General features: G+C 38.4%; 1 protein-coding gene across 8 annotated transcripts in view; it reads right to left on the reverse strand.

Moving 5' to 3' along the window:
- The window catches only part of FHIT (fragile histidine triad diadenosine triphosphatase), a 1,504,176-nt gene that overhangs the window by 314,897 nt on the left and 1,172,208 nt on the right, over window positions 1–17,071 (reverse strand). The window contains exon 2 of one of the 8 annotated variants that reach the window (NR_135491.2): window positions 15,197–15,353. The exons of 6 other annotated variants lie outside the window; for them this stretch is intronic. The gene's annotated coding sequence lies outside the window, so the exon portion shown is untranslated. Of the gene's footprint in view, window positions 1–8,685; window positions 8,767–15,196; window positions 15,354–17,071 lie in introns of all 8 variants that reach the window. One more of the 8 variants, NM_001320901.2, reaches the window with a different exon arrangement.

The following is a 17,071-nucleotide window of genomic DNA, read 5'->3' on the forward strand; positions in this document are numbered from 1 at the left end:
ATTGAGTACCTAATGTGTGCTCAACAACCAAGTACAAAATTAGACATGGCCTTCTTCTGAGGTACCTTACTATGGAGTTGAGATGAGGAGATGCTGAAACAATGAATGAGAGTGGAAATGTATTCTATGCTGTGGAGTGAAGAAAACACACAGCTCAGGATTCAATGATAATGACAATGAGGGTGGTTGAGAGTAACTGTCGTAACACTCTTATTTTCTAAGCACCTCCTACATTCCAAGTACTGTGCTGGATGCTTAATATTTTCATTTCCAACATTTAAAACAATCCATTAAGAATTATCTCCTCTAGTGAAGAAAATAAAGCTTCAAAACTTAAGTTGCTTGTATTACACAATGAGTAAATGGTAGGGCCTGAATTTAACCCCAGGTCTCCCAACCCAAAGATCACGATCTTTCTTCTACTGAAGTGCTGGATTTATCCTAAGAAGGCATTCTTCTGTTAATCCTTACACCAGAATGCCAGCTAATTAAAACAGAAACAAAAACAAACAGAAACGCTGTTTGAGAAATGTTCTTTGTAAGGGAGATGACCTAACATGAATTTTTGGATGAAATTATAATGGATATGGAGGAGTTTTGTTTTTTTGGTTTGAGAAAGAATCTTCAGGAAAACATATAGAATTTGCAGGAGAGTCATGTTCATTAAACCATCTCAGAGTTAAAGACTGGAGGGAATAGATGTTAATAGCCATAAAGGCCTTGCAGAAAAAGGCAAACCTTCTTTTCCAGTAGGAGAGAAGAAGTGAAAAGGGATGGAGGAGGAGAAGAGTCAACTGAGGAGCAAGAAATGTTCCACAATGAGACCGCTTCACAATATCTCCCAGTTCACAACTAAATTAAAATAATGCCTGGGGAGAAGACTGTTACAGATACATGCAAACAAATTGCACATCCTGTTAAGTAGGGCAAAACAGACACTTGGACAGAGAAACCAGAGGAAGACAAAATTCACAGAGAAGGTGGAGAGAACTTTAACTTCTCATGAACTGTGGAATTGGTAGTTTGAGTACATTATAGTTAGATCTCCATTGAGCAACAAGGTCCCGACTGACATCTGGTCTACAAGATCAACTTTCTGGCAATACGGTAAATTTTTTGACAGTTACTAAATGAGACTGAATATAAGCAAAATAAAAATCATCTTGTGTTTCAAGAAACTGATATACTCCAGATACATCACCATAGCATATGGAGATTTCTTTAACTAGAAAAAATAGTCCATCCAAATTCACATTGGTTGAGGAAGCCAGAACACTGACTTATCCATGTTTACCACAGCTCATCTGCCTTCCCTCCCTTAATAAAAGCAGAGGCCCAGAGTGACTGCCAAACAAAATCTACCTAAAAAACATGCCATTCAATTTTTTTAGAAGGCCATTGAAAGATAAGCAAATTAAATTAAAAGAAAGGAATGAAGAGATTTTCCTTCTGTCTGGTTGTTGAGAGAGAACATTTCTTGCATATCCAGCATTTGGCAATCTCTTAGCAAAATGGCAAATTCACAAACCCTTTAACCCAGCAAATGCATTGCTAAGAATTTGCCCTACAGATATACTTCCAAATAGTATGCCAGAATTTGTGCAAGAATGTCCTTTGTAGTATTGCCCATAAAAACAAACAAAAAAATGGAGAAGAAAACCCATATACCATCCATTGGGTTAAACGCGTTTTGATTTATCAATACAAAACAATATGTACAGCTATTAAGAATAATGAGGTAGGTCTGCTCTTCAAGATATACTATGCTTTGAAACAAGCTAAGTGTGAAGAATGTATATAATATGCCATTTAAGTAAAGATTTTAAAGGCTCCGTGTCGTTTTGTTTAGATGTCAACATGTGCATAATTTCTTTTTCTGAAAAGCTACAGAAGAAACTTCACAATGGTAATATTTGGAGGACAAGAGGCCAGCATGTCAGAGAAGAGAAGGAAAGGAAAGTTTTCATTTTCCTCTTATACCTTTCCTTCCTGCCTGAAGTTATAGGTATGGCTAATTTGATTTAAATCAATAATATTAATGAAACATAAAAGTAAAATAATTACCTAGTAATAATAAAACTATGTTGTTTATAACTCTTATTTGATGTTTGGATTCTCAGAATTTACTTCACTGAACTCCGAAATGGGTGGTATTTTTGAAATTTTTAGCTGCAATGAAAGAACACAGTATAACTGATGCACCCCACCCCCAACCAAACCACCCTCATACCTTGTCCACCACTGCCATCTCTATCTTGCATTTGAAAATATGCAGAGAAGACTCTGTTTCCATGCTACAGACAGTACTTCTAGAATTTTGACCGCATAGTAAACAGTCATTGTATCATCCACACCCTGAATGATGAGGGACAGGGACAGACAGAACCTACCTACCATGTGAGCAGCTCTAGAGCTGTCATAGCTATAGCTGACTCTAGCTCACAAAGCAGACATGAGGAAAAGCAAAGTTTGCATGTGCACATACACACAACACAAGCACACTGAGAATGAAGGAGAACAATGTGAGACTATACTGGTCAAAGAGTATTTAGGATCTGCCAAATAATCCAGTTTTGTTTGTATTTTCATTTACATCCCTTTCACCTTAACCATTTTCACAGTTATCAACTCTCTAATACACTGACACATGCTGTGTTAGGCACTTCGCAAGTATTATCTCATTTACTTCTCATTTAAAATGCCATTGGTTAATATCATAATCTTCCCATTGCATATGAAGAAATTGACACTTAAAGATATAACACTTACCCTACTCAAAGTCACACATCTACATCTAGCAAGTGGGAGGTGGCATTCAAACATAAACACAGCTGGCCTCAAAGGCACTATGACTCACTGTATTCATTCCTGATTCAAGTCTCATGCCTTGCCCTGAGACTGTTCTTTAGGACATAAATTGGGCAAAGAGCAATCAACTCACAAAAAGAGAAGACCTTCCAGACCAAAACTAGGAAGTTTGGAAAAATGAGAATCATGAAAATATGCGTATTACACATACAGCCAGGTTGAAGAAGACAGAAAGCATTAGAATGTGGAGGAACCTTATGAGCTAGAATGCTTAGTACTTAAAGAAATGTCTTTGGGATCAGCCATGCTCCTGGGATGAATCCTGACCTGGCCATGATCTAACTGTCACCTTAACCATGTCACCGAGAGGCTTAACCTGCACTTACTTCTTTCATCTGTAAAATGGATGGCATAATAGTGCCTGCTTCACAGAGGCATGGTGAGGGTTGAATAAGATCATGCACATTAAGTACCTAGGACCCAGTAACTCTCTGTAATTATGCTGTGTTTGAGATCATAAAGCTCTTAATCATTATAAAAGTACCTGAGAAATTCTGGAATGCTATAACAGGAAAACTTCTGAAAATATAGACTACCCCTAGGCAAGCCCTTTGTTTTACACAGCAAGAAAGTGAGACCTAATCAGTTAGAGGCAAGATGCTTCTCAAGTCAGTCTATTGAGTTTTTATTTTGCACTGAATTACACATCTACAGAGCTTCCTGTAGCAGGAAACTCTGCTCAGTTTGCCCATTGCTCATTCCTAACACCTTTTTCTCCTGCCTGTTCCCATCCCATGGCCAACTACTCATTCTCTCAGACCATCTTGAAGCCAGTGAAAATCTGCTGGGGAATACTCGGGGGAAGCATATGATTTTCCAGTAGCAACACTGCTGCTGCCACCTCTCTCCCTTTCTTCCTACCGTGAATTTGATCATGGTTCCAGGAAATAGGGTGGCCATCTTGCAAATAGGCAGATTAAAACAATCACTAAGACACTGCCTACCTCCAGGAGGTCTTCTTGTTACCAAAGAAAATACACCCCTATTTTTTTAAGCAACTGTTAAAGGCAGGGTTTCTGTTACATGCAGCTGAACTCATTCCCAGAAAATGATAGAAGTCCTTTTTCCATGGACATTGACACAGTCTAGGATGGGATGGTGGGGATAGTACAGGGTACTCACCAGCTGTTGGAGGGAAATCCCCAGGTTGTGAGAGCTCTTTTATTTAAAAAAAAATTAAAATGTAAGTCAAACTCAGGCTTAGTTTTGAAGTTCATTTCTCACCTTGTTCTCATTTTTATCTTGATACTCCGAATGAATTTCCCAACGATATCTAAGAGCTTCCCATTCCCAGGCTGGTCCAGTGATTTTTAGTGAAATTAGGTTTTATTGAAAGTGAGTTGATTTTTACTTATTAATGTTCTGCTAATTAGAGCACTTTGTCAATATCTCCATGCATGCATTATATTCTCATGTCCACAGCATGTGTTTAGAAATATGTGGATAACAAGATGGAGAGTTAGACTGTTCTGGCCCTAATGACCTCCCGCCCTCTCAAAACGCCAACATAACTTCTGGTCACGTAATCATGGGCCACCTTGTACTGTTCACTGACTATTTGTTATAGGTTGATTTTAATCCCTGACAAATTTTTTTTTTTTTTTTTTTTTTTTTTTTTTTTTTTTTTTTTTTTGAGATGGAGTCTTGCTCTGTCACCCAGGCTGGAGTGCAGAGGCACGATCTCGGCTCACTGCAAGCTCCGCCTCGCGGGTTCACGCCATTCTCCTGCCTCAGCCTCCCGAGTAGCTGGAACAACAGGCACCCACCACCATGCCCGGCTAATTTTTTATATTTTTAGTAGAGACGGGGTTTCACCGTGGTCTCGATCTCCTGACCTTGTGATCCGCCCACCTCGGCCTCCCAAAGTGCTGGGATTACAGGCGTGAGCCACTGCGCCTGACAGACAAAATTTTTAAACCTGTGAATACTGACACAGCGCTTCATGTTTTGCTAGTCACTCTCAGTGCCTATCACAGAGGTAGGCAAATCAAAAATTCTCATGAAGTACTAGAAAATAGATGCACCTGTCCCCCAAATGCACAGCATAAGAAGATACCCAGGGACTAAAAGCTCCCAACTCCAAAATAAACCTATTCATGAACATGAGTCTCTATTCCTTTGCTCAGGGAATTCAGTGCTAAAGTAGATAGCAAATATATTTATATTAGGGGAAATATCTAAAAAATGGCACTTATAGATACATTTGCTAAATAGATATGGAAGTCTATCTGAAGACCTAGCACTATGCCAGCCATACAACAATCTCTTCACAAATATGTATTGAATGAATGAATGAATGAATGAATGAATGAATAAGCACACATACACAGCAGAAAAACAGACTATGAATGAATATATATCCTTTCCCCTAAAGAAAGATACTCTAAAACAAATGGGCAGTCAAAACTACAATCTCTCATTTAACTGGGAAAAGTAAAGAACCCTCTATTTCATCTTTGATTTCCTCCTTACATGATGTACAATGCAAAGGGCTTGCTAGTCATATTTGTCAAGAGAGCCCACAGGTACTATCTGGCTCATCACAGCTTAACTTATCAATTGCCATTGTTGTTTGGTGGATATTGATCTGGGAAGACCTTGTATCTTGCGAAAGTCACTTCTACAGCAACTCATCACTTTTTCTTTTTAGTCGACATGAAGGCTCAAGTGTTGTGGTATACTGGGAATTTCCACGCGACAGCCCCATTCCATCATTAAATACCCAGTGAGAGCTTGTTAACTAGATGAATGTCCCAATTAAACCAGCACGTTCTTGTCGCTGCCTAACAGTGATGGTGGGTTCAGACTAACAGTTTGAAGGGCAATAACTAAAATGGTTTGAGGAGCCTCAAGTGTAGTTTCAATGGTTTCACACTTATCCATTCATTTGTTCATTCAACAAATCACTCAGGGGCCCAGCATGGTGGCTCACACCTGTAATCCCAGCACTTTGGGAGGCCAAGGTGGGTGGATCATATGAGGCCAGGAGTTTGAGACCAGCCTGGTCAACGTGGTGAAACCCCGTCTCTACTAAAAAAACAAAAATTAGCCAAGTGTGATGGCACACACCTGTAACCCCAGCTACTCTGGAGGCTGAGGCAGGAGAATTCTTTGAACCAGGAGGCAGAGGTTGCAGTGAGCTGAGATCGCACCACTGCACTCCAGCCTGGGCAACAGAGCGAGACTCTGCCTCAAAAAAAACAAAACAAAACAAAACAAAAAGCATTTTTTTGGCAGGTCCCAATGTCTATTTCCAAGCTGAAAATGTTTGCTTTCCCAAAGGGGCATAAAACTGTGATTTTTCTTAACAGCACAGTTTAAGTGGTCTTGACTCTGCATCTTAAGTTCCCAGGGTTAAGCTGGAGATCTTGAGAACAAGAAAAGAGTAAAAATAGCAACAGTGCAAAACTCCAGACATCATGTTGGCTCCATACGGCTGTGTGGGTTGTGCACTGTGCAAGTTCAGTGTGTTCCATTACTAGGACCATGATACAAATGGCAGGGAAGTGGTAGAAACCCCACCCAAGGGGTATCCTAGGCCCATAGTGCTCCCTAGTACAAGGGCCACAAACTACTAAATGTCCAAAATCACAAGTAAAAACTGTTCATTTTGGTAGAGGAAATACTTGATTTCATACACATCTAAATTTCACAATTAAAGTCTCAAATAAAAAGCTGCCAAGTAAAAATGCTCAATGAAACATAATTTTTTCCTCTACCTGATTTTTAAGTAAAACAGGCAAAGAAGAAACAAGGCAATGATTGAATAGAAATGCTATTCTTGTTTTAAAAAAAATTAGACGGTCCTAAGAATCTATGCTAAATGATTACATTAATATGCATAAAATACATAAAACATATGTACAAGGATGTTTATTGTAAGACTGTTTCTCTATTACTAAAATACAGAAGTGGTTATATAAATTATGGTACTTCCATACATGAAATGCTATTAAGTCAATAAAAAGAATGAGTAAACTTGTAATTGCTATCCTAAGGACAAAGCTCCAAAACATACTCTGAAAGACAAAAAGGTAATCATAGAAAAATATAATATGATCCTGTTTATAATCAAATCTAGATAATGTACATAAAGGGATATTAAGTCATGAAACAGTGCTTGGAAAGATACACACCAGTCATCTGACAGTAATAACCTATGAAGATGAACGAGGAAGTAGAGAAATTTCATATTTTATATATTGTAATTTGAACTACTTTTTTTTAAATAATGAAAAGTGTTTGTGTATTAAGTGTATTATAAAAAATATCCAAATAGTTCAAAATGACAGTAAATTACAGGTTATGTATAGTTTAATCCCAACCTGTTACAATTCATGACAAAACAAATGGTTTAAAGTTAAAATTTCTAATGTAACCTATGTCAATTACACATTCTGACAACATATATTCATTGAGCACATACATTACATAAAACACTGCTCCAGGGGCTGCAGGTCCAGCAAAGAGACAGGTAAGGCCCCTGCTTGTATAGCGCTTTTGTCCAAGACAGTAAAAGAGACTCATATATTTTAAAGAGATTTTCAGTTAACCATCATTTTCATAGTAAATAATTCAACTAACTATGACATTTTGGGCACTGTGGCTGAGAGGTTTGCTGTGACTCTAGTAAAGTTTCTTCTTGGAAAGACATTCTGTGCCATAAAGAGCATTCCCTGCCTATCAAATATTCATCCTTCTCAGCCATCAATCAACTGAAGTTCCCTCAAACAGAATCCATAAAACAGTCATACTTTCCATCCTTAGAGGGGTTTACACCTTTCCAAGCACTTTCACACATCTACGGTGTCCTAAGAGATGGGTGACTAAGATGCAGGAGCAAAATAATATAAATTTACCATATAAAAACTTTCTTCTGTCTAGCACACTTTTCTCCTCGCTCTTTACTCGCTCAAGTTTTGCTGGTCCTTCAGTTTGCAACTTAGAAGTCACCTCTTCCAGGTGGCATTCCAGGCTGGTATAGGGATCCCCCCTACATGCTTTTATTGCTCCCTATTGCCTCCATTCCCTCACAAGGTGTGGACCATGCTGCTTTGCAATGACCAACTTGGTGGCCACATCCAAGTCACAGGGCTCAGGATCACCTGGAGTGCCCTGGGTCCAAACTCACCCTCAAGAACTGACTCACCAGGTAGGTGAGTATCTGACAGTCATATTTACAGAAGCTCTCCAGGTGTTCTGAAGCAGTTAATCCCAAGATATGATGATGGAGGTGTGGACCATGTCTGTCTCTACATCACCATCATTGAAGCCACGGCTTCTGACAGTGCCTGATATATTGCTGGTGCCCAATAAGGAGCTGCTCCTTTATCTACTGGTTCTTTCAAAAAATATTTACTGAGCACCTCAGCATGCCAGACTTCTGGTGAATGACAAAATGAACCAATCATGCATCATGACGATGATACAGCTTTCATTAATAAGACTTTTTGAGTTATCTGATACCTGAAGCAACTACAGGAACCCAATCCACACCTGTCCCTCTGTCCCCTGCTGGGTAGATTAGGGAAGACAAACAAAGATTTGGGAGCTTTTGTCACATTCTTTAGGTGCTTCCGGGATGCCACCAGTGGGTTCCAACTGCTCAGCTATGTTTAGAGGTCACAGGCAAACAGAGTGGGCCCATTGCAGACTGCGAGGCAGGGTGCCTCTGTTCAATATAAGGATATAGTCCATGAGACAGAAGGTTATTACAATGAGGTTGCCTGGGTTTTCCTCCCCAGTTTTATTCTGTACGCCTTTTAGGTAAATTCCTTAATATCTTTCTTCAAAATAGTTGGATGGCATTTGTCTTACCTTTAAGGGATTCGGCTAAAATCCACTTGAGTGCTGGCGCCTAGGCAGGGAACAGGCAGCAATTCCTACAGGTCCATCTACCTGATGACATGAAGACTAGTTTATGGTTAACAAACTGTTTTTCACTCTCTTTAGAAGAGAAATCTCTGTCAAAGGTCACATAAACTTTACCGTAGTCAGCAAAGCCCCTTCTTATAGGATCCTCCCTCTATATTTCCACCCTCATCTAGCACTGTCTTCCTTGCTTGCCATGCCCTAGTCCTGCTGTATCAATAGAGTAGAGCCACCAGCCACATGCGGCTCCTGAGCACCTGAATTGTGGCTAGCCCAAACTGAGATGTACCAGAAGTGTAAAATACAACCCAGATTTCAAACACTTAGTACAAGGGAAACAGAAGGTGAAAGAATCCTATTCATAATTTTCTACACAGCTTATATGTTGAAATCATACTATTTTAGATATATCGAGTTTTAACAACATATTATTAATTTCTTTTACTTTTTATGGTGACTACCGGAAAAACTAAAATTACACAAGTGGCTTGCATCATATTTCTACCGGGCACTGCAACCGTGTCTGTATTGGCCTCTTGATTTCTGTACTATAACAAGCATTTCCCCCACTTCTGAGGCTGTGTGTTTTTTTGTCTTCACATGAATGACTCTCTTTCCATGTCTGGCATGCCTGACTGCTGTTCACCCTTCTAAATGCAGCTTGTATAGCATCTCTGGAATAAGACTTGTTGAATGTCTATCTGTTTATGACCTGCAGCAAAGTTAGCCAAAATGCTCAAAAGGGGGACAGAATTGTCTGCCCAGACTTAAGGCTGGGGCTCCCCGAAGCTGACTTTCCAGTGATAATAAAATGTCCCCACCCAAATCTCATCTTGAATTGTAGCTCCCATAATTCCCGTATGTTATGAGATGGACCCGGTGAGAGGTAATTGACCCATGGGGGCAGTTCTTTCCCATGCTGTTCTCATGATAGTGAATAAGTCTAATGAGATCTGATGGTTTTATAAAGCGGAGTTCCCCTCTACACAAGCCCTCTTGCCTGCCACCATGTAAGACGTTCCTTTGCTTCTCTTTTGCCTTCCACCATGATTATGAGGCTTCCTCAGCCACGTGGAACTGTGAGTCCGTTAAACCTCTTCCCTTTATGATTTACCAAGTCTCAGGTTTGTCTTTACTAACAGAGTGAGAACAGACTAATACAGGTAATAAAGACTTGAAGGACATGAGGTAGGAAGGAAAGACAAAGGTAGAGGAGGAGAAACCAAGAGTGTTACCAAGCCTTAGCCTGATGACAACAGGCAGTTGCTTGAAGAGAGACAAACACTCTTGCTTTAAGAGGAATAAATCAAAGTGGCTTCGGATACATTAACCCTAGCTTGTCATTTGAGAAGACAGCCCTTTATATTTAGAATGGCTAGGAAAGACTCCTTCTAGATGATTTGGTGCTAATGTTAAGAACATCACGCAAGGTGTCCAGTTCGATGGCTGTCAACACCTTCTCTAAACCTTGTGGCCCATACCATATCAACAACAAAATAAAGAAACCAACCAAGTCAACAACAACAAAACATCGTCAACAACAACAAAACATCACCAACAACAATAAAAATTAGAATATTTAAGAGCCTGTGCATGCTTACTTATGTGCTGGGCACTGTTTTACACATTCCATATATTAACTTAGTCTTTCCAATTAAGTCTTCAAGGTAGCCACCGTTATTGTTCCCATTCTATAGATGGAGACTGAAACCTAAAAAAGTCAAGGACTTGCCCAGCATCACTGAGCTGGTAAGTGGACGATCAAAGATTTAAACATAGGCAGTGTGGATCCCAAGCCTGTGCTCTTAACCCTTGCAGCATATACCACTCTACATCTTCTGTACTATTCTCTATTGACAGTATCTATGAAGCTAGCGCTTCATGGTATCAGGATATGATACTTTCTTAATTATTCATTATTTTGTCTATGTATGCCTTCTTTTCCCAGCTACAGCATTCACTGTTTGAAGGGAGAGATTCAACCATCTCCTTCTCTGGACCCCACACCCAACTTATCCTGTTATAGGCTCATGGTCAACAGATGACTGCACTGTGTTACTAAATGCCAGGGAATACACAGAAGTTGTGACTGCTTACATATTCATGGAAGAAAACCCCAACTCCTATCATCCAAGTTTGAAACTAGGTCTTCTTTCCTATTGGGGGAAATTTCTGCAGGTGTGAGTAATTAGAAAATTAAACATTAATTAACAATTCAAGTGACTGATTGTGTTAGCAAGTTGCTTGCTAACCATACAGGTAAATATTGTGCCCCCATATGATGTTTAAAAATAAGGTCCCTTGAGCATATTAAGTAGTAGAGATGGTTGACTCAAGATTCAAGAGTTTCCTGACCCCTTTAATATGTCACATTTTAAGTCTGTATATAACAAAACTATTGGGAAAGGGGATTGCCTTACTCACTCACCTTGCCTTATCATCTTACAAAATATCTTATATTAAAAGAGAGAAAAGGATGACAGCTCTGTATCTATCACCTATTACTCATTATCCTGGGACAACAAACAGCCCCAGAATCTTTCTTTAATGAATATAGGCTCTCATAGTACATGCTTATGTTCGTCTCACGTTTGCTCTCTCTCATTTCAAAACCCTATTTCTCTTCTGCCCTTTATGTCTTCAAAAGAGACGCTGATATTAATTACCTTGCTTCTCTAACCCCTCATCGTTTTCAGCCCCAAACAATCAGCTTCCTGCTTTTAATCTTCTACCAAATCTATTTTCTCATGATCTACCGAAGTCACCCTACTAAGTAAGTGTTTCTGGAAAGGTATTTTCAGTGCCCATTTCCCTTGACCAACCTGTGGCCCTTGACTCACTGGAAAAAATCACTCCACTCCTGCCCTTTGTAATATTATTCTCAGCTGGAATTCTAGCCTCTGTCCTGCAACCTCCAGCTTGATTTTACAATATAAACACTGCTACTTCCTAACAAGTTCACCAGATATACGAAATAACCCTGTATTTCCCACTGAAGTAAATTAGATTGTTGTTCAGTAAATATTCACTCTCTCTTTACTTCTTATTCCTGAGAGGAGTATACTGTCACATTCCTTTGATATCAGACTTGATTTGGCTTAAGACATGTGAATGGAGCAGGGGCTTAAAATGTCATGTGCATTCCTGTCTTTCACTATGAGAAGCAGATGTCTTAGTTTTTTGCTGGGTCTTGGAGGGTGACAGACACATGGACTTAACTCACACCCTATAGTCAAAACAAGCCAAGCTGGCCCACAGACACAAGAATCAGAGTAAATGACTCTTATTTCAATCCACCAAGTACTGGGGACAGTTTGGTACACATGAGTTTTATGAAACAGTTAACTGATGCACCCATACAAATGTTAAACCTTTGTTCACTGGAACAAAGGTTGGAAGTTTTCTCCAACCTTTGTTGGATGGAAATTTTCTCTTGTTCCTCTACTTCTATGGTATTACCTCTCCCATGCCACTTCTCTAACTTCATGTCCTGTATTCTCTCCCTTATTATGTTTTAAACTCCTTTGAAGAGCAAAGCATCAAAAGTTCTTATCCCTAGACAGACACAAATTAAAATTTGCTTATTCATTCATTCATTCATTCATTCAGCAAATGTGTGGATTTTAGAAATGAGTTTCTGTCTCAAAGGTATTTAATACAACACCTGGCTCAGCTTCATGGACTAGAGACACATTATCACTGAGGTCACGTTGTTACTGTTTTTGCTACTCCTGCTAACTGTTCCAAAGGGGAAAAAAAAACAACATGCACTTTAAAAGCATGATGTTCTTGTTGGCAGAAATTACAATAGTTTCTTCTCTTGGTGTTTACTCCCCCAACACTTTCCTCAGCTCTTTATTTCTGATATTCAATTACCCTTTTTCTGCCTGGCTTTTCTCACTTTCCCAGAAGACTTACCCTGGGAAACTTTACTGTTTTCACTGGTGTACATTTGCACTAGTTGGTTTAATTACCAAGTGAATCTACAGCCTCTCAGAACATTTGACACGTCTCCCTTTCACTGGATCCAAGACATGAAGCAATGAAAACGAATGGGTGAATGTTACAGCAAACTCAACCAAAATTTATTTTGCCTGGATTCAAGGATTAGGCTAACATGCTAGCCAGTTTCTGCCCCCCTAAAATGTCACCCTCTGGAATGACAAAAACCTTAATAAGATTTGGAACCAAAGTTCCTATGACCAGAAACTGCTCAACATATATGCGTCACACACAGGAAATAAAGGCACATTTTAAACTAGAGCTGCTGGGTCATCTTTAAAATAGCAGACTGCCTGTCAGGAGAACCAATGGAATAATCAATCACTCAATTTAAAGTGGGGAGCTCCTTTAAAATGCTAGGGTGATGGGGTATGGGCACAAAGTGAATAGCTGTGACAGTACAGTTCCTCAGCCAAGATCCACGAATGTAAGCACCAGTGGGAAGAGCACTAGACCAAGAGGCTCAAAAATATACTGTGACCTTCAACTAGTCACTTAACAAGTGCTCATTGTATCATTTAAAAAATAATACAATAGAACTCCATGAATCCAATTAAATTTAATTCCATATTATTCGAGTGTTTGTTTAAAATGATATTTCTCAAAGCAATGGTCAAATGAGTTTGGAAATCAGTAGATTAAAGAAGGTTAAGCAGGTTTCTGTTCCATGCAACTTCTCAGTAACTTTAATAGTCTACTGTGCACCGTGAAGCTCTCAGACCTGGTGGATGTGGTATGGAACATTCCCCAGACTAATAGGAATCAAAGATCCTGTTTGTTTACCATGGACAGCCTTGTAGAACTCCTATTCTCTATAATACATGGCCATCAATTATAGAAGACACAGAGATACTAAAGAGAATAGTTTTCTTGGGTCCTGGTCCTGAGGCCTGGCATTCTCATGAAGCTGAGTTTATGCCCTCCCCTGTGATTTATGCCATACCTCTGAATCCTTATAATGATGTCCCTTTTTGATCTTAAGATGGCTTTAACTGGTAACTATCATTTGTAAGCAAAAGTACCTTATTAAACAAGAAAAACAGCTACGTGTGAGTTCTGAGTAAATATTGCTAATTTATGTCTATCTGCAATTGTTACTTGGGCTGAAACAAAAGTTCCAGGTAAGTATGATAGTCATTTTGCCAGAGGAGCCTCAATAATCCCTGAGCTGAAATACTTTCATACATCAAGACGTAATCATCTAATATTAGGAAAGCCATTAAGAAATACAATTACTACTGGAAATGAAGACCTTTTACAGGAGAACAGACATGATGGTTTTCCTTAAAAGCTCTTCCCTTTTCCACATCCACTTTCTTCTACTTTAAAATGAAAGTGACTTCATTTTCAAGTGACCTTTTATAAAGTCCAAACATCAAGTGTCGTAAATATTCTAAGTATTCAGAATGAGGTCCAGTACTGTAATATTAAGTTGGATATGCCAGAAACTCAGAAAAGCCTATTTCTCTTTAAATAGCCAACTTATAAAATTATTCATATTGTCTTCCTGGATTCCCATTATGTTCCTCGTGCAAGAAAGTGAAAGTGTTTTATACAAGCCACACTGTGGGGTAATATGGCCAAACTAAGAGCTTTCAGAAGGATTCTTCTCTTATTCTCTACTTCTGCTTCTGCTGCTGCTGCTTTTTTTAAACAAATGAGATCAGAGGCATACTGTGATTAGCAATGCATGTTTATGTAGTGAGACACCAGATTAGAAATGATTATTATCATGTCACCTAACAGAGTGATAATAATGGTACTCTGAGATGGTACAGCTCAGCTGTTGAGGATTCCTACTACAATAATTATTTTAAAATTAATTTTGAAGAGAAAAAGGAAAGAAAGAAAGATGATTGAAACCATTAAAGCAATCCTGATAAATAAGAAAAAAAAACCCAAACACTATGTTTTATTCCTAAGGCAAGCACAAAAAATAAAATAATCACCAAAGTGAGACACGACTGACTGAAAGGTAAAAGGAACATTCATTTTCCCCATCCAAGGAAAACAATAACTGAAAACAATTTAAGGCAAAAAGTTAAGCTTCTATTCTGAGCAAAGGAGAGTTGGACTGTATTTATGTGCTAATAATCTATTTATAAGAAATAACTGATTAAATAAGATAGATAAAACTTAGTAGACAGAAATATATTTTTTTCATAGCAAACAAAGCAATCAAAAGAGAAGTGTTGCTGAAAATATTGACAATTAAAAATCATTCAAGGACTCTGAAGTATATTTCAGGCAGAAAGAGAGCAGCCTAAGGAGGACTTATTACAGGATTGAAAGCATCACCGTGAATTCATAATTTTTAATATATAAACTGAGAGATATGGAAATATATATATAGTATGTGTATAAGTACACATGCATATAAATACACACGCATGTATTGCCTACCTCTACTCACAGAGAGGCTGAAGCAATGATACCCCACTATAAATTAGCATACCTGATGTCCAGATCTTGGTTTCTAAATACCATTCTCCAAAAAATAAAAATAAAAAAGGAACCAGACCTCCTTGGAGAAGTGGTTGGCTCCATTAATGGGACAGGACAGGAACAAGATGAGATTAGAATATCCTGTGGTGCCACAAAGTTACAAATGGCTAAAAAAAAACAAAGAAAAACCAAAATTGTGGGGACAGGTCAAAAGAACACATGAACCAGAATGAAGGGATTCCCCTGGCTAAATAGGGACATAAAATAAAATAAAAACTGATAATATCCCAGAGACTACAGAATTAAAAAAAATCTACGATTTTACTTCACACACACACACACACACACACACACACACACACACACACACATATATAGAGGGGGGGGGGAGGATACAAAGTAACATGTAGGATGAACAAGTCTAGAGATCTAATATACAATATGATGACTACAGTCAATAAAATTGAATTAGAGTTTTTTGTTAAATAAGTAGATTTTAGCTGCTCTCTTCACAAAAAAAGTAACTCTGAGATAACAGACGTTGATTTGCTTTATGTAGTAACCATCTTATTGTATATATGTATCCCATATCATACTTTAAACCTCAAATACACAAAATAAAATTTATTTTTAAAAAAATGGGAGGTGGGGGAGAAAAGCCCTTCCTTACAGAATTTCAAGTCATAAATAAGGAGTAATTAAATTAGAAAGTTACCATTTAACAATCATCACAAAAGTAACTGTTTCAGGTAAGAATCAGTAGTAGTGAATGCAAAAAAAGAATGGGTAAAAGTATAAGAAAAAACATACTACATTTTCTACAAGTATATTCCTATAAGATACTTATTGATTACAAAAGGAAAAATAGCAATTTTCCAATGGAGAAACCTGGTAGACACCACACCAACCAAGTGATCAAAGTTAATACCAAGAATGGGAGAAAGGAGCATCAGTGTCTCCTGATATAATGCACTAAGAAGGATATAATACTACCTCTGTAGGATTCTGGCCAATATGCAAAATCTGATTCTAACCATGAAGAAATGCCACATCAGACAAACTCAAATTAAGAAACATTCTGAAAAGCAATAGGCTGTGCTTTTCAAAAATGTCAAGGTCATGAAAGACAAAGTCTGGGGAATTGTTTGAGATTAAAGAACACTAAAAGACAGGACAACTAAACACAATGTGTGATCCTGGAATGGATCCTGGACCCAAATAAAAGACAATGGCAGCATTTCCATAAGGTCTGCAGACCAGAAATAGCTTTATATCAAGGTTAATTTCCTGGTTCAGTAATTACACTATGTTTTTCTAAGAAAATGTCTTGTTTAAATACACTAAAGGAGCAAAGAGGCATCATGTAACTTGCTTTCAAATATTTCACTAAAAATTATATATACATTTATACACATATAACATATATGGTACACACACTCATATATAGGTGAGAGAGAGAAAATATAATGGAAGTAAGTAAAGTATTAATATCTGGGGATCTGAGGGAGGAGGGTAGAGGGATTCTTTACATTATGCTTGCAACTTTTTTTTTTTGCAACTCTAAAATTATTTCAGAATTAAAAGTTAAAAAAGAAAAGAGAGGGAGCTTGACTTAATATTGCAGCTGTACCATAAAGTGTTCTTGAACAAGTGACTTGTCTTCATTGAGGCTCGGCTCCCCCTTTGCAAAATAGAGACAACATGACTTCACAGGGTGATCGGGGTGGACAAACAAGATGGTGCTGCAAAGCTCCAACCCAAGAGCTGGCCCCTGAAGCACACAGTAAGTATAGCTTGTTTTTGGTAAATCCAAAATACAACAACCCATTAGAGGGCGTTACTGTCTGAAAGCAGTTTGGGGGCACCCGAGGTGATGTGCAGGCCG

The sequence above is a fragment of the Homo sapiens genome, chromosome 3, assembly GCF_000001405.40.
Source record: "Homo sapiens chromosome 3, GRCh38.p14 Primary Assembly".
Classification (NCBI taxonomy): Eukaryota; Metazoa; Chordata; class Mammalia; order Primates; family Hominidae; genus Homo; species Homo sapiens.